Here is a 19512-nt window from a genome sequence, read left to right on the forward strand (position 1 = left end):
TAATCCAGTATTCTAGTAGCAGACAGTATACTGCTCTTGTATATTTGCAATTTTCAGGATTGGTAAATATACTGTAGCCTGGGTCACAAAATACCTATTATCATATTAACTTTTTATTCAGCCAGCAATAAATTCCTAGATTTTAAAAACTCAAGTCAAGCAACTTTTATCACTGCTAAAAATTTAGTCAATAAAAATGTCAATATCTTAGTCTTCCAAACCACAAACTACAGAAGCATTCATTCATAATGAACTAACAGAGCTTCAAATACTTCCCTTCCCTCTTGTATTTCTCTCAAACTTATACTTAAGATCTGGAATTTTTCACTGACAATGTTTTCTTCTATAAGCTATCTATAAAGTCAGCCAGAAACAATGATTATATTGATAGGGATAATTAAAACAGCTAACATTTGTTACGGCTAACATTTGAGGGCTCCCTACGTACCAACCACTGGTTCTAAGGGTTTTACATGCATTTAATTTTCACAGTACCCCTATGAGACAATTAGTGTAATTATCCCAATTTCCAGATGAGAAAACTCAGGAACACCGTGAATAAATACCCTATCTAACTAAGGTCACACAGCAATAATGTGATGAAGCAAAATTCTAGCCCAGGCAGCCTGGCTCCAGAACCTACATCTTACCCACAAGCTTAACAGTTAATAAGGCATTCCGTCTTTTCTAATGATCTACATATGATGCCTTTCAGTACTTAATCTCAAAATTAACATTGACCCTCTTCTATATGTCATTATGTTGAGCCATATGGGAGCTATAATGAAATGTAGACATGGATACTATGTTAAGATGCTCAAAATAAAAGGTTAAGACAATAAAATAAATATTTCAAAAACTACTACACATATTAATTGCCAAGTTAATCCTCTCTATGTACTATATAGATATACTAGAGGCAGAAGAGAGAACTTCCGGATGTAAAAACCTGTTCTGACACTTCCACTCACCAGTTCTGTGATTTGGCCAAGACAATTAGATTCTGGAAGCATTGTTATACTAATTTGTATAACAATTACAAATTCTATTGATATCACTCTTTTCAAATTGTGGGATACAACCCATTAGTGAGTCATGAAATCAATAAAATGAGTCAAAACCAGCAACTTAATTTTTTTAAATGGAATGGAAAATATGCATCATTAGTAAATTTCTCAAAACTTTCAGGGTTTTCTTGTACATGTGTGTATGTATATGTGTGTACAGAATCTGATATAAAATGTATGCCTTCATTTGAGTATGGTCATAAAAATCTGAAAGCCACTGTTCTATTCCAAATTGATAAGGGTTGCAGGAGTTTATGGGTTAGAAGCTCTTGTTTCTGTAAAGATCTTTCCAAAGATGAACAAACATCTTTCTCTATATGCAAACTCCTCAAGAGAAGCAACCCTGTCTTACTAATATTTGTATACCCAGCACTAGCACAGTGCCTGACACACAGCCTGTTTTCAATAAATGATGGATAAATGGAAATAGACAGTTTAAGAAATTAGAATTTACCTACATTTTAAAGAATTGATAGAATTTGGATACTTTAAAGAAGAGAGTAGCAGGCATTTTTAGAATTCATTCTTTCATTTCCCAATCATATACTACAGCAGGGAAGGAAACCAAACAAAAAGCTTTCTACTTAGAACAAGAAGAGAATAAACTGAGTGGCACTGCAAAGCCAGGATGGTACCCCTGGTGCACTGATCCCACACCTACCCCTATGAATAGGCGAAGGTTACAGGTACTGAAGCCTGAAGCTGGAAAGATACACTGAGAACAACTGAGAAGGGCTGATGTTAACCCTTTTCTTAGAAAATATAAAATCAGAAGATGGTGATTCATATTTCTTATTTTAAACAGGAATATAGAGAACAAAAGTCAGATATTACTTGAGAAGCAGAGTGTCAGAGAACCAGGAATTAAAGACATAAGCTAATCCCCAATCAAGCATCTAACTGCATCCTGCCTTTAAGGATTGGGCCCCAGAACTTCTCAGGGATTCTTCCAGAGAAATCAGTAAGTCACTGCCCTACCTAAGCAATCAGTGCATCCCAGCACTGCACCAGGCAGAAGTTCGGTCATAAACAAGCACAACGGAAGTGTTCGTCTGTAGCTCGAGGCATTCATGCCTAAACAGAAGCATCGAATGCTCTCAAATAAAGGGCTAAATATCATACTTCATGAAACCGTTGGTAAAAATCCACACCAAGTTCTGCCATGTGGAATTTAAACGGGGAGAACCCTAGCTTGATGCATCTTACATTATTTCCTCCTTTGCTTTCTTCCTTGATTTACTCTTTGGTATTTCTCAGAAAAGAAAGAAAAGAAGAATGAGAGCAAAGGAGCAAAGAAGGGAGAAAATGAAAAAAAGAATAAGGAAGGAAAATAAATGGAGGTTTCTTTTCTGGCAGGTATTAAGAAAGTATCCTGAGGAGGTGCTGGAAGAAAGTTTTCCCCTACCTGGAAGCGGGGCATGGCCCACTCCCTGTGCTGCTTGGCAGATGTCTGCTGGCAAACCCAATCCTTGTCCTCTCCTTACCCATCTCAGACTGCTGGCTCTCTGTCAGCAAGCATCCAACTGGGCTCAGCCATGGGAGGAGAGCTGGAAGGGAAAAGTCAGAGTACTTGGTACCTACTTCATTGGGTGACCCTGACAGCTGGACTCCTAACTACATTGCATCCTCTGTTCCTCCAGCCTAGGGGTAATAGTGACGTCCTGCTGTTGCCAAACCCTGGGTTGCCTAGAAGTCCCTTTTTGGCTTCTTAGCTCTTCCACAGCTGTGTAACCAATTCCCTATATTATATTCTCTCTGTTTTAAATATTCAGAATTATGTTTTTCTGACTAGACTCTGCCTAATAAACTTTTCAGAAATGCAGCTAAAAAAAAGAGAGAGAGGAAAGAGACCTGGCTTAGTTGCAGGGAGTAAGAGAAAGCAAGACGAGGTGGTAAAGCAGGATCCAAAACCAAGTAGGACATTTTAGGGCACATTTACATGTTGACTTTTCATCAGGATGCCCTTCACTTTATTGTTTTAACTTTAATGACACTGTCTTGTTCCAATGTATTTTATGTTTACATTCTATTCATGACATGGGATTTTTACTTAGAGTAGTGACAGAGTTTTTCTGAAATACATATTTAACTTTTTTTAAATCAAATTAGAGAAACTATTAAATAAATCTTGTGCAGGTGTTGGACACATGTGGCCAAAACTATGAATGGCTGGAATTTAGGAAACTCTGGCATAAGAAATAATAATGTTCTTACATAATTTCAATACTGGTAAGGACATTTAACAATATTGTGGTTTGCCAGGAAATTTCCATCATTACATTACTGTCCTCAAACTCTCCTCAAAACAGATGTTGACAACAGTTTCTGGCTCAATTCCTTGTGTATATGATGAGAGCTTGTGGGATACAGGCACTTCATGAGTACTAAAAATATAGTCTGAGGAGATGAGTAAAATTAACAAGATCTGTCTCATTTTACTTTTTAAAAAATAATTTTAATGTTAAAAAAACCACTTGCTATTTTTTCTAATTATAAGGTATATAATTCATGATCTAGAATTTGAAGACAACAGAAAACTATTTTTAAAAAATCCCACAACTCTTTGATAAATGAATGCCTACATTGTTTTTTTAATCTTTCAATGAACTTATATTCATAGATTATATACACATACAATTCATATCACAGTTTGTCCAATTTTGTGTTTTTAAAACCTCAGATTATAATGAACATTGTTCTATGCCATTAAAAATGCTTCCCAATAGCAATGAGCACACTTAGTGCCCAGATCTTGTCATCTAATACTATTCTCAAGTAAAAGAAAACAGGAATCCTTGAAAACATGGCTATTTCTAAGACTAGAGCAGGAAATATATAAGAAGAGCCTGGACAGTCTAATGGGACCGTAAAGAAGGAAGGAAGTGCTCCAGAAAACATACACACACACACACACACACACACACACACACACAGACGGGAGTATATCAAAGGGGCACTGGGTCGAAATGAAAGCGTTCCCAATGGCCTGTGCCAGAACAATCTGAGCAAAGAAATAAATACAGTAATATTGGGTTATAATCCAAAGTATAAAATAAATATCCATTAGTCCACACTGATATAAATATATGATTGAATAAATAATGGGAGAGAATAGACAACTCTGTGCTGAATTCCAAATAATTTATGTAAATACTCAACCTTCAAAGAGGTGGGACTTAACTTTTCACCTTTTAAGGATAAGCTGTGCACAGTGACTTCCCTCCAAAGACTACAGTATGGAAAATGGGGTGGGGTGAGGGCAGGTAAAGTGCTGAATAACTTTACAGTGGAGAAACCTGACAAATGCTACCTCAGCCAAGCAATCAAGGTCAACATTAACAGTGATAAGTCATGTTGATAGTACGTACCCTCAATGTGATGTGATGAGAATGGCACTTTCCCTTTGGGGTTTCCTCCCAAAAACCCATGACTCCAGTCTAATCGTGAGAAAAACATCAGATAAATCCCAACTGAGAAACATTCTACAAAATATCTGACCAGTACTCCTCAAACCTATCAAGGTCATCAAAAACAAGAAAAGTTTGAGAAACTGTCACAGCCAACAGGAGCTTAAGGAGACATAACTAAATGTAATATAGTATCTTAGATAGGATACTGAAACATTAGGTAAAAACTAACGAGACCTTAATAAAGTATGGACTTTAAGTTAATAATAATGAATCCATGTTGGTTCGTTAATTGTAACAAATGTACTACAGTCATGTAAGCTACTAATAACAGGGGAAACTAGGTACAAAGTACATGGGAACTCTCTGCCCTATATTTGCGATTTTTCTTTAAATATAAAACTGTTCTAAATAAAAGTTCATTAAAAATGCTTATCAAAATATTTTGAAAACATTTTTAAATGATGCTCAATTGGTAGTGATACCTTGTCAACAATTAACCCCTGAGGAAATCTCTGTCCCAACAGAGGCTACATACAGAACTGGGGGATTCAGATCCACTGGTACAGGTAGCTTAAATCCTGGAGCCAAAATATGGGTAGAGTGTCCATCAGATCCCGCCCCTAAGGCTGGTGACCTTGTAGCTATGGGAGCAGAAAATGAAGGCATAGTACAATTTCCTAAAGATTAAAAACAATATCATGTTCTCCTCCATTTTTGTTATTACAGGGAATAACCTATCTACTAATGATCAGCACCTGTGTCTTTGTGTCTGAGGCCAAGAATAAATTCATCAACTGGGTAGCCACTACAGCAGAAGAAGCCAACCACAGTCAATGTTGACTACGCGTCAAGTTGCCAGAGGCCACAGGAAATGGACTACCTTGGAGAATCATCCCTGCCAACATTTCTGAATGGCTATGTCACTACCAATGGGGCCACAACAACAACACTTGCAACCCAACCTGGACTTCCTTTGACCAAAGGAAGAAATCTATCTTTGCCCATGTCAGACGAAAGGTGAACACCACCCTTGCCTTGTGTCAAAAGCTTTGGTATCCTGCCCAATATGCCTGGAACAGTATATATTGGGAAACTGCTGTGCTGGTGGCCAGATTCCATATAGCCCCCCACTTTGTCTGGAGGCCTTAAATGGCTCCTCTAATGTTACTCTGGGGTTTCTCCTGCCAGACAACTGTCAACACATACTCGAAATCAACAACATTGTCCCCAGTGAAACACAATCTCTTTCCTGCTTTAATAACACCTTAATACACTATAATTACAAAAAAACCATTGCTGTACCCTGGTGGGGGCCCTGTGGGTATGCAGATCCTACGAGTGGCAATACCTGCCCCCACATTGGATGGGGAGATGCACTTAGAGGTGGCCATTAATTCCATTCACCATCCAGGATAATATTCCCCTCCCCAGTAATCTGGACTCCCTGGTGGTGGTACCCTATCACAGTATTCTCCCCTGCCACCGGTACAATCCTGCTTCAGCAAAAAATTAAAATATTAAGCTTACATGTAGAAGAAGCTCTTAATGATAGTAGCATTGGACTTATGTTGCTATCAAATGAATTTGCTCAGCTGTGTACTGTTGTGTTACAAAATCGAATGGCATTAGATATGCTTACCGCAGCCCAAGGAGGGGTTTGTGCCTGACTGCATACTGAATGTTATGTGTATATCCCTGATAATTCTCACAATATCACTCTCCTTGAAAAGCCATGGTGGGTGTGGTTTTTATTAATTGTGCTTTTAATTCTCCTGTGCTTATCCTGTATCTGTAATCTGTATCAACTATGCCTTCCCCATGTATCTGTAAGGGTATTTTTCTACAATTGAGTATCAAATTGAGGCTGAGTGTGGAGGAAAAGTTAAATATTAAATTTGAACTCAATTGAACATGACACAAACGATGGTCACCAAGTCCCAGAACAGGTTGTGTGAGCCCCTTGAGGCGCTCATCCAGTGCTGATTCGGAGAAATCTCTATTTCAGTCTATTCCTATATGTTAGTTATTTAAAAAAATAGACAATTGCAAAAACAAGTTGACCTTTTTGTGTTCCTTGAGCCCAGTCACAAAGGGTTCTCGTGACTGGAAATCATGCCAAACAACTCATTACAAAAAGAGTTAGGGTTCCAGACTGCGCAAAAGCATCGTGAGACCTCTCCTCGTCTGTGCATGGATGAGTGGCCGACTCTGGAGCCCAGGCTATTGATTCCTGGTCTGATGGTGAATCCTCCATAGTCTGGTGAGTGTAAATATATATATGTATACACATATATGTATATGTGTGTGTATATATATATCTTTTCCCTTCTCCCCTTCCCATTGCAATTTGCTTTTGCTTATATCATTTGCTTATTATATCATTTGCTTATTATATCTATATTGCCATATACTTGGGATAAAGGCTGTCTACCCTTAAAGGTGCTGTGTGTGTGTCTTTTCTTCTCCCCTCGCACGTTTCCAGCACAGAACAAATGACCAGGTAATAACCCAGAGGGTTTACTGTAATTACTTAAGCATTCCTCTATTATTGGAAATGTGAGCAATTTCCAATTTTTCTATTAAAAGTAATGGAGTGATAAACAATTCTAAATATATTTTTGGTTCAATTCTTTGATTACAACCTTGCAATAGATTGCTGGAAGTTCATTCTACCTTTTTAAAAAGTTAAAATAACACATATTATGCACAGTAGCTAACCCAAAGAAGCTGAAGTCCCATTAGACTGTGAAACTTTTCCGAGGTAGATTCTATTCCTCTAGATAGTAAGGAAAATATCCGAAATTTGTTCCCAGCCCTATTCATTGATTTCTGCATCCATTCAATAAATATCTGAGTAACTGCTATCCATCAGACAAATAAACTGTTGGAAAGCCATTTAACCACTTTGAGACCTTGTACTCTGATCCATAATAAACACCAAATGGTCTTCACAGCTGAAGACCATTTCCTGATCCTTGCAATGAAGCAGTACATATATGAATAGTATGCAGTGGGCGCTTTATAATAATTTTCTGCAGCACTTGAATCTCCCGGCTACAGTGTGATTCTGTAGCTGAAAAAAAAGATTCCTCCCACATTAGCATTTGGTGATTTTTTGAAATGCTTATTTAAAAATCTAATTTCTTTTCTGTAATAAATGATTTTTTGTAGTACTTGCAATCTCCATTTAATTTTGTTGCACTCTGGTGCCACCTAACGCTCATCTTCTCTGGGACATCTGTGTTTCTTCATCCTTCCATAAATGTTATTTTAAGCCTGGGTGTAACCCTACCAGCAAAACTTCCCCTGATTGCTTCAAAATGTTCATCTGTCACCAAGCCCTTCAAAATTTGTTGCCACTGTTTCTATGACATCTGATTGTTTCTTCCTAAAATTTACAGATCTCTTCAAGAAATTCAACAATGATGTCAATCAGACGGAGTTCTTGTAAATGTTCTCTGCAATGGAGATGTACATCTAGCCAATTTATTGGGGGTGGATTGGGCTGCCCTGGGAGATACACCCATGAGGAAGTAAGGAATCAAGATTGGACAGAAGGAGAAGTTAACCCACAATGTGGTTTCAAATGAGGCCTCCTTCAGTCCTACAGGGAGCTCTGGGGCTGGGACTGCAGAGTTTCCCCACATAGAGGCAAGAGGGCTGGGCCTTTATAGCCCCCCATCAACCAGCCACTGGCCACTTGGAGGGACATTACTTTGGGAGAGGCTGTGTCCTGAGGCCAACGGCAATGCCTAGTAGGGGCACAGCTGTGAAGCCATCACAGTCCATGTCCCAGCAGCCAGAGTATGGGCCCATCTCGAGATGATGGGATCTGGGCAGAGACAGGTCAGCCTTCACTAACTCTTTGCCTGTTCATTTACCTTCATGAGTCGAGCTGAAATTAAGGGAATCTAACTCTTGAAAATCAATCCTACAATCCACAGACACATTTTTTTGATCACAGGATCACAGGTGATTTCTAAGAGCACATAGTTCATTTCAAGCGTGAAATGGCTAACCAAGCCAGCACCTTCTACCCATGGCTCCAAGCACAGTAACTCCCATAAGGTAAACACTCTGTAAACACCTTAAAAGGATACCAAAAGCATCATTATTCTTAAGCATTACACCCATTTTTAGGAAATGTGAGGAAATCAGACATAAAAATAATATAAAAGGACCAATAATGAGATAAAGATGCCCAAATCAGTTCTCAGAACTAAAATCTGAGACAGGACTGCATGGAGGGCTGTGTGCTTAGAAGATTAGAAATCAAGTTAGAATATCTCTATTTGAGAAAGTGATTATCTCTATTTAACCTTGAAAAATAAATTCCTTGTAAACATAATTGTAGCAATGTGGGAAATTCTCAGCAGGATTACAAAGTAGCTTAATTTAAAAACCTAAAAACTCAAAAAATTGTGGCTAATTAGCCCCTCGAGATATTACTTTAACAAAATATCAAAACTCTTCAATAAATATTAAAAAAATAAAAAATAAAGTTCATTTATGTCAAACAATGTCATCTATCCCTAATTATTCTATATACTACATTAAAAATTAAAAGCTTTTTTCAATCAGTAGACAAATCATATATTTGTTATTCAATTTGATTTCGCATTATGGGGCATTTACTATGTGCAAAGCATATATGAAGCAAAGGGAGTGACTACAAGTGACTCCTGCTTAGACCTTCCATTTTAAGATGTGACAGAAAAATTGTGCAAGTGTACGAAGGCTAAGCCTTATGAAAACATTATCTATGCAGTGCAAGCAGTCTCTGGCTTCCTGAACTGGGGAAGGTCCAGAGTTCACTAGGAAGCTATGTTTACTGGCTTCATTTGCCCAGAGAAGCAATGTCACTAATGGGAGTTGGTTTCCAGATGAGACCTCCTAATGTACTTCTAGCAGCTCCAGCCCAAGTTCTGAGAGCAAGAAATCATGAGGGACAGGACGGTGGCAGAGGAGAACAGGGCAGTTTCCCATTCCCTTGCCAGACCCAGAGCCATTCTTCAGCCAAGCTATGGATCAAAGCAAGTCTGTAGTTAGCATCTCATGCCTCCCTTCCCATGCACCTCCATTCAAAGCTCCACTAGTTTCCAGCCTCTTGTCACCTCCCCCATACTAAGTCCTGTGGCACCCATCCAGGCCCAGGTTGCTGCCACAAATTCTACAGATTGAGCTAAATCACTCTCACCCACGCCCACTGCTCAAAATTTACAATGTTCTATCCAGAAATTAGAAGGCAAGAACCTAGCTGAGTTAATTCATGCTAAAGTATAAATGGTCATTCCTGAAGGCTCCAAGAGACACCAGTATAACTTTTAAAGATACCTGCTGCCTCAAAAGTGGAGATGAACGACTATCAGAAGTGATGGAGTGGAGGAGAATAAAGAATGTGTATTGAGCATTGCCATGTGCCAGGAACTTTCATTGTACCCTCCTAACAGCACCATCAGGTTGGTATGTTATTCCCCCAGATTTACAGAAAAGAAATGTGAGGTTTAGAGAGGTTAAGACTTACTCAAGCTCTGGAAGACAGTCTGCCTCCACCTCTCTTCCCCATGGGCAAAGTCAACCAGTCCAGTCTCCACCCAGGGGCAGGCAACTCTCCTAGGCCATTCTTCCCTTGCACTGTTTCTTCTCTTCCTTTGTATTGAAACCACAGATCCCCTTAAAAAACCATCTTCTTGCAAAGTGTGATGACAGGGACAGTAAAAGAAGCTGAGGCAGCAATGGGTAAACACTACTAAAGCATATTTGTATAATGAAGCTGCTTGCAAGTGGAGTGTGGATCAGGAACTGCTTATATTCTAGGCTCTGAAAGGAGGAAAAGAGGATGGTAAGTGGATTTATCCCTTGAGCGTCAGTATCTACCTCTCTAAAGTATGTTTTCTAAGTTCTTTGCTAAAATTCTAGGACTTCATCAATGTGATAGCCTTTAGGTTAACTCAGGTGCTGTTATTTGTACCATAGCTAACTTTAAAACTAGTCATCTCATTAGCATGGCTTTTCAAATACTAAAATCCATTCAGGAAGAAAAGCATTAAAAACCTAGTTGATATACACTTTAAAATTCCATACTCTATGCTCGTTTTATATTAAAAACACAGAAAAACAGTCTCCCTCTCCAAGGCAGTGCTTCAGACCAGCAGCTGAGTCCAGCAGCTCATAGATAGATTTTCTGGATGGCTGATTATTCATCTTCCCCACTGCTGCTTATTGACCAAACCCCACGCGGGCACTGGAAATATCTGCCTGCCCACAGCAATTTGATTTGCCTTTAAAGACCCACCTCTCTCCCACTCTCAGCCCACAGTGTTTGGATTGAATGCCCCTCACTTCTGGGTTCCAAAAGACACACATGACCTGTCCAAAGCACCCCCTGGCCACAGTGGACAGAGTGAGGGTCCAAATCACTCCCAATGTCACTCACTGCCAAGCATGGTCTTTCCCACAGGCAGGCACAGCTGTGAGGAGGATGTGTGCCTAGAGATGCTGACAGCCACCAGTAGAGAGTCTGCCTGAGAGAGATGTCCAAAGCGAAGCAATTCTGGGAGAAGGAAAGAAAGAAAGGTGGCAGGGGGTGGTGGGGTAAAGACAGAGACCTGATGACTGAGGCCTGGATCCAGCCTGCTCTGGGTCTTTTCAGGTGTGACCAATACACTCTCCTTTGAAGCCTAATCCAGGAAGAGTTGAGCTCCTGTATCTTGCAATGAAAGGCTCATGAACAGCCCGTCCCTGGTGCCTGGGCTCTACTCCATCCATCCTATTAGACATCTCCGTTCCTACCCACCACTCCTCAAATGTTCCCAGTATCATGTGGGGAACTACTGTGTGCCTTTTTAGCTCCCAAGCATGGCCCAGCTGGCAGGACATGAGGAGTCAGCCCCAGCAGCAGCTCAGTCTCCTTGGCCTTCTGTACAACAAGCTTCAGTCCAAGAGGTGTTCACATTCCACCCTCAGCTCTACCCAGCTTCCTTTTCATAGGCTGCTGCCCCAAGCAGAGAATCGGGCTTCCAGGCAAGGAGCTATAAGTTAGGCCTGTGGTTGGCTTATTTTAAAGGAAGCAATCGTTTGTGCTTCCATTTATCAAAGCCCAGAGTGCACAAGCACAGATCCATATCCTTCTGAATCATCCACCACCTCTCAGGTTTGAGAACTGCCCTCTAACAAAGCTCTTTCTTCACGGTGATTTCAGACTGCAGGCTTCTACATTTCCCAGCACATTTATAAGATGGCCATGAAATCAATGAGAAGAAGTGAACAGAGAGCTGAGAGTACACTACTGCTGGTGCAAACCAGACCAATTGTTCAAGCAGTTGTCGCAAATGAGGTCATTAAGCCTCTGTATTTATCTCCCAAGACACAGGGATTCCCATGGTTTTATTTACTTAAAAGTGGAATGTCTGTGCTACCTGGTAGTGACATTTATCTTTTACATATATATGCTACCTCCCCATCTAAGAGAAAAAATCTCTGGAGTGCAGGAGTATTGGGTTCCCAGAATCTAGAACAGATTTTCAATTCCTTATGTGTGTAGGCGGCAGTCAGCAAATGTTGACAACTGAGGAGGATAATCAGAGAGAGCTTCTATTAGATATCTCAGTCTCTGGCAAAGGAATCTCGCTTCTGAAAGGCCCAGACCCAAAGAAGAGTCTCATATAAGAATGCATAAGAAGGAAACAGAAATCAACTTCTAGGAAACAGAACCCCATATTAGCAAGAAACTCCAAATTTGGGTTCCCCTCACACCCTGGTCTCTTTGGTAAATGCTGCAGGCTACAGCTTCCTTTTTATTTCTGGGCATATCTAGACCTACTGTTAGGAGGCCAGTCTACAGATTTTTCCTCCTAAAAATCAATCCAAGTGCCCTGCAAGGTTCTAGGATAAATAAATATGCAGGCCATGGTTGAAATTTCAGAGACTCAAGTTTTAACTTTTATAATGCTAATGGAGCCATCTAATTTTCATAAGAATTGTTACTGAGTCTTCCTTTTACCCAAGGGTATTAACTGAGGGTTCTGGAGTCCATGGATTGAAAGTCATGAGTTTCCTTCCTTGAGGAAGAATGCACAATTCTGGTTTTGTGTACATTTCTATGGGGAAAATACCACAACCTTTGTTAGTTTCTGAAAAGGGTTTATGATACCCAAATAGAACGAGAATTACTGTTTAAATCTGTTTACTGTTTGAATAGTATAATGTTTACTTGGTCATGACTCCAGTAAAATACTACATGAAGAACAACAGAAAGACTACATCACATTTTTCCATAATAGCAGATAAAAGAATACATAGGTTCTTGATACCCTTTAGACTTGGGCATGGCTTCTGTCATGAAAATTTTTACTAGATGCTATTTCCTAGTCCAGATGGCAGTAATGGTTGGATGCTTAAAGCAGTCCATGTTCATATTGGTCATTGTAGTAGCTGGCTGGGGAGGTCAAAGCAGAGATTGGCAAACCTCAGTCGGGCAGGGCTTGGTACAATTTCTGATCACTCATATTTGCTAGATGTGCTAGAATCCATACCCTGAGCGTTCTCAGAATAGCAAGTAGGCTGGCTTATGTCGCCACTTCAATTTTGATTGTGTGACAGACTACAGTCTCCATGAAATATTTTGACATTGCCTTCTTTTCCCTCCTATAACATTGTATAACAAATGTAATGGTGAGCTTTAACACACTTTAACTTTTCCTTCTTGCTTGAGAACATTGCTGCAAATCTGTTTCATAAATATGAATATTGGCTATACATGGAAATATAAAATTTAGATTTTATGTCTGAGAAAATATACAGGAAAATATGAACAAATTAAATCCCCTTTACCATGCTTTAGATCTGTTCAACGGAAAGTCTTCCTAATTAACCCATGATTATGTTAACAAACAATACACATTTTTAAATGTACACCTCCTTATAGAACCCTCTCCAAAGTTTTTCATTTTTTTCCCACCCTAACTTCAGGAAAGAAGTTTAAATCTCCTGAAAATGTATTTTTTTATAATTTACAGTTGTAACATCTGGATCACTGAGCTTTATCTAATTTTCATCTCTACCTAGGCTCGGAAATGTGCTGTCTAGGAGAAATCTCTCCCCTGAGCACTGATAATGAGACATCAGATTGCATTTCTTGCCTTCATTTACTTTCCAATAGTACTCAATAAAAAAGCAATGAAATGGCATGTTTTTCCAGGGGGAAAGACACTTTCATCCTCTAGGTATTTCTATTTTTGTCGACATTTTTAAAATGTCATATCCTAATAAGGAAAACATAGCTCCAACCTACTTCCCTATCTCTTTACAAGACAACTTTGTGAGTACAATGTGGTTCCACACATAGAAGCAAAGGAAAGCTATTCCCAGACCAAGGACATGAAGTCTCCTGAAGATGGTTCTTCCCTTCAAGGCTGAGCATCTGGGTTCTCAAAATTGCTTCAGTCCTTGCTAAAGTCCAAAATCTCCCCAAGATCTGCAAGGTTCTGCATAATCTGGTCCCTGCCACTAATCCCAGACCCATCTCCCCCAACACACACACACCTTCCCTCTTAATCACCAAATCCCCACTGCCCAGGCAATCTTCCTCTAAGTGCTTCCTGCTGTGGTTCCTTCTGCCCAGAACTGTCTGCCACATCCCTGCCTTCCCTCCACCCTGAAGAAATCTGACCAACTCCTATTAGTTATTTTCATTCGATCCTAAATGCTTCTTCAGGGAAACCTGATCTGATCCTCCCTCTCTCAAGATTGGGTTGGGACTTCTTATCATACAATTCATTCCTACAATTCTCTGTACTCCTCTGATTCAGTTATCACAATTGTAATTGGTAACAATTTGCATATTTTTTAATGTAATGGATGTTTCTTCTATAAGATCGTAAGCTCTATGTGAGCAGGAACTGTCTTATTATCAAGGTATTAACAAGATACTATGTCTACCACAACATAGATATTTCATAAATATTTGAGGAAGGGAGAAAGAGAAAGATGGTTACTAAAATCGTTGGTACTTAATTGGAAGGAGATCTTCCAGCTACACATACATATTTGGGGTTGGTTTATTATATAGAACATTTTAACTGAATATTCTCCCCATTCCAAGACATCTGGAAAACAGCTACAAGACAATACTCATGAGCAGATGTAGGGGATCGATCAAGGTGGTGGGAGTAATTATAAAGATAAAGTTATAGGAAATAGACACGAACCTTCTTGGAAGGCCAGGAGGTTTGCATAGCTTCAGTAAAAGATTTGGCTGAAGGCAGCTGAATTCTCTTAAAAGCTTGGGGTATAGATACACAGGAATGTAGAGGAGTTTATCTAAATAGCTTACTCATGTGGTCCTAAGACCAACAACCTGTGATCATCTGTGGGCACATGACTGCTCTCTACTAGGGAGGTCGGCAACGTTAATCACCCTTTAGTGGTGTTTACTGGAGACCTTTGTCATTTAATCTGTCCTAAATAAATGTGAACTTCACCAGCTTATTGGGGCCAAAGCTGCGGACTCAGACAGCAGAGCCCCTTAGCTGCACTGAGAGGCAAAATACCTGTGTCAGTGTATGTCTTTCATCCATCGCTGGGTCAGGGTCTGTGGGTTGGACCCGGCAAGCAGACCTAGCAGCTTTTCAATATTGAAGAAAGCCACCTATAACATAGCAGTTAGACTCTTGAGTTTTGGAGCCAGTTCTGAGCTCTGCTGTTTACCAGCTTTGTGACCTTGAGAAATGTCCTCATTTTTTCTAAGCCTCCACTGATTTATCTATAAAATGAGGCTAAGAATTCCCACTGCTTTACTGTTGTCACAAAGATTAAATGAAGTAATGTCTGCAAATCAATTAAGACAGCAACTGACGTAAGACTAAGATTTCCATGCTGGTATTATTATTATTAAGAAACATTAGAAGTTGTGCCAAATTCAGAAGACATTATCTCACACCTTGCTTTCTCCTTGTTAAAGGAATATACCCCAAATGGACATCTTTACAAAACAACTAGATGTTCAGAAAAGAATTTGTTTTCCTGTCCAAAGATCATAACTCCTAGACTAAATATGGAATGTATAGCATTATTTTTCAGAGGAGTTTAACAACATGATTTGAAGTCATGATACATGTATAGAACTCACAAGAAGAAAGATCTGAAAATATTCACTTATGAGGTCTCAAAACTGAGCCTGCAAATAAACAAACTAACCCACTCTCATTCACTGGAAACTTTTCTTCAACTAATGGTGGCACCTTCCTCTAGCCTTCTCTCCAAAACAATGGAAAGACCTATCAGCAAGGCTGGTGATAAGGGACAGTCAGACTCAATCACAAATCATGGGTTTGGGTACCAAGCATGTATTTAGCACTGGCGTGGTGATGTGGCCTCACTAATGGTGAAGCAGTGGGTAGCCTGGAAATTATGGCCTTGGTAGCAATCAGATGTCTGTCAATATCTAGCTTTGCCACTTACTAACTATGGACAAAACCAGGACTGCCGAAAAGTTACTTAGCCTCTCTAAGAATTTCCCATACATAAAATGCAACTAACACTATCTCTTTGTCAAAACTGCTGTGAGGTTTAAGTGAGACAATGTACATAATCTATAAATGTTTCTTTGAGATGCTGTACATAGAATGCCTAAGAGATAGATATATTTCGTTTATTTCCCCTAAAACTATGCCTTTCAGGGGACAAGAAAGCAGAATGACAGAAATAAGATGAGGCTATAGAATATAGAAAATGAAAAATTATAGGACTTTTAACGTATAACATATGTCTAATAATAATATCAATAACAAAAATAATGATGGTGATTTAGTAGGGTGCCTGGTAAGGAATAATTTTTTTTTAAGTAGAACTGTCATTTAAAAGTTGCTAGTTACTTGGGATTATATTTTCCTAAACTGGGTTCCTCAGGCACAACCTACTTCAGGCAGCCTATTCTGTAGTGTTTAAAGGCACAGACTCTGGTGACATAGACCTGGGTCCATCATACAGATGTATAACTTTGGGCAAGTCAGTTAATCTCCTGTGGTTCAGTTTCCTCATTTGTAAAATGCAGAAGACATCAACCTAAGTGTTGCAGTAAATAAATCAGTTAATATATATACAACACTTAGAATAGTGCCTTATACATAATAAATGTTACATATGTTTAGCTATTATTAATATTAGTTATGAAGTGTCATTTTAAAATGGCACTGGGTAAGAAGCTCCACATGTTGGTTGGCCTCAGGCCAGAGGCGAGATGGCACAACTGAGCAGAGAGAGGCCAGCTCAGGGTAGGCTGGGGAGGAACTCATCAGCAAGTCAGACCTCACCTAATGCAGCTTTAGAAGATAGACTGCGGGCCGGGCATATTGACTCATGCCTGTAATCCCAGTACTTTGGGAGGCTGAGGTGGGTGGATCACTTGAGGTCAGGAGTTCGAGACCAACCTGGCCAACATGGTGAAACCCCATCTTTACTAAAAATATAAAAAGTAGCCAGGTGTGATGGCAGGCACCTGTAGTTCCAGCCACTTGGGAGACTGAGGCAGGAGAATCGCTTGAACCCAGGAGGTGGAGGTTGCAGTGAGCCGAGATTGTGCCACTGCACTCTAGCCTGGGCGACAGAGCAAGACTCTCTCTCTCAAAAAAAAAATGCACATTGTGATTTAACAAAAGCTAATTCAAAGACAGGGTAGTAAAGAGCAAGCCCTACCACAATAGATAACACAATAAATATTTTCATGTACACGTATGCAAAACCAGCTCACACAACAAATTTCTGGTACCAAATACAAATGAAATTATCTGAAACTCACATCAGATATATGCTCCTAGAAAAAGAATAGATTTTAAAATATGAAATGGGCATTTGTAAATACACCATTCAGGATATAATCCAGATATAATTAAGAGGATGAAGAAAGTAATAAAATAGTGTAAGAAATGTTTTTCAAATAGAGCCACTGCGAGACATTAGCATGGCAACATTAACAGAAAATAAGACATTACACTAGGCAGCCACCCACGACATAGGAAGGCTCTGCTGTCTCAGATCCATTTGTTCCTAATTCAGTTATTCACCAGCTCTCATTTTGAGGTGATCTCAAAAAATGAGATTCTTGTGATTATGAGAATATATTTTTATGATCCTAAAAGTATTTCTCTTCCTCAAATTAGAAAAAAAAAATGAACTATATCAATAGAGAAACTCACCAAAATGCATCCCTATTTTTTACCTGTAAGGATCATTTTGTGAGAGTTAAGTCAGGCCATGCTTGAAAACACTAATGATTGATATTAGTTATTGTGACATCTGGGGTTGAAAGGATTAAGGGACTAATTCAATGAGTGCTCTTCCATGGTGGCTGTAAGTATGATACACACTTACAGGAGAATGATTATTCTACTGAAGAAAAGGCATTCCTTATATATTATAGATTTTACATATGTTATAATTAATTACAAAACATTATATATATTTTTATATATGGCACTCCATATATAGCTATATAGATAGATAGATAGATATAAAATATTTTAAATTCAAAGTAAGATTATTCATTTCCTTTGTAGAACACATACCATAGTGGTTTACTAACCACAAATGCCGTCTTCCAATTGTTTTATAATTTTCTCTTTTGCTGAACTAGTTTTCGTACATCTATTCAGACTAGATAAACTAAAGCCATTTGTAAAAATTATTTCATCATTTAAATGTAATACTATTACTTTATTACTATTAAAGTGGATGATTAAATTTAGAAGTGGAAGAATATTGGCATTCTTCTGGTTATCTTTGACTCCAGTGAAAAATATGATATGCATGAAAGAGTAGGCATGTGCATAAACCATGCCTGGTAAAGGTATCCTCTCTGTGTGTGCATACGTGTGTATAAGGCATATGTCAAAGCAACACAAAATGTCACAAACATCATAGGAGTCAATTATTTAAATTTTGCCATGAAAAAATATATTATAAAAGCTACTAATAAAAAAATTGCCTGATTGTCCTTTCTTTATTTTCCCTGCTCACTTTCCAAGCAAAGAAAGAAAACTGACATTATAGCTGAAAGGTAAGCCAGAGGGCAGAGAAGGAAGAGCCAAGACCTAAATAATATACCACCTGGATAGTCCCACAACACAGTTCCATAGGCTAATCATCCAAGTTATCCAAGTCATCCAAGTTATACAAAGTTATCCAAGTCATCCAAGTTATACAAAGATCCTCTCATGGCAAATTCCATATTGTTCTTCCTCATTCCTGGCAAATGCTCAGCAGGAAAAAGTTGAAGTCAAGGAAAGTGAAAATGTCAGATAAATAATAGGTATAAATACACTCTAAAATGCTCTATCTTCCTTGAAAAGCCCAGAGGCAGAGAGCATGAGGCCTGAGAAATTCTGCCAACTGCAGGTCTCCCTCCCATCTCTGACTATTCCCTTCTGTCTTATTCTGCTGATTCCCACAGAGAAAGCAAGGAAATCACAAAAGCACCAGCCTGAGTGTAGAACATTTTGCTGCATAGTGGGCCAAAGGGAGCAGAGAGAGGCTGAGGGGATGACCCAAATGGTCAAGTTTTTTTTCCACTTGAAATGCTATTGAGTTGAACTGGTGTGTATACAAGGTCAGACAGGACTGGGCAAAGTCACAATCACAGCCAAACCCCATTACTGTTCCTCACCTGAAGCTTTCTTTAGAAGTAGAGGAAAACAAAGAAGAAAAGAGAAGGTGCAGCCCACGTCTGCTCTCAGCTAGAGACAGCGTGGTCCCTGCTGATTTGGGGGTTTGGCCCCACAGGGCGCAGGAGGCAACTGTTCTGTGGTGACCCAGAGCTTGTCTCTAAAATCTCTTCCAATCCCAAAAGATATTTTGGAAAACATCTGGAGTCCCAGTGTGGTGTGGTGAAAATACTATTCAAAAGCAACTATCAAAATAGCGAAATTATTCTTGTATCAAAATCAATTTTACATTTCAATATAAGAACAGGAATGGATAGAATATCATTTCTATTTTGAGAGAATATCTATTGGCAGTTTTCAGAAATGGACCATTTGCCA

The 19512-nt window shown here is 39.2% G+C and overlaps 1 protein-coding gene and 1 long non-coding RNA gene across 21 annotated transcripts in view; one reads left to right on the forward strand and one right to left on the reverse strand.

Annotated features, from left to right (window-relative positions):
- LOC105379085 (uncharacterized) overlaps positions 1-5765 on the forward strand; it is a 121023-nt gene extending 115258 nt beyond the window's left edge. For both annotated transcript variants that reach the window (XR_948575.3, XR_948576.3), the window contains 2 exons: positions 1873-2028; positions 5204-5765. This is a non-coding gene — a long non-coding RNA (uncharacterized LOC105379085). The remainder of the gene's footprint in view (positions 1-1872; positions 2029-5203) is intronic.
- The window catches only part of MCTP1 (multiple C2 and transmembrane domain containing 1), a 581405-nt gene that overhangs the window by 550142 nt on the left and 11751 nt on the right, over positions 1-19512 (reverse strand). The window lies entirely within an intron of this gene.

The sequence above is a fragment of the Homo sapiens genome, chromosome 5, assembly GCF_000001405.40.
Source record: "Homo sapiens chromosome 5, GRCh38.p14 Primary Assembly".
In the NCBI taxonomy this organism is placed as follows: domain Eukaryota; kingdom Metazoa; phylum Chordata; class Mammalia; order Primates; family Hominidae; genus Homo; species Homo sapiens.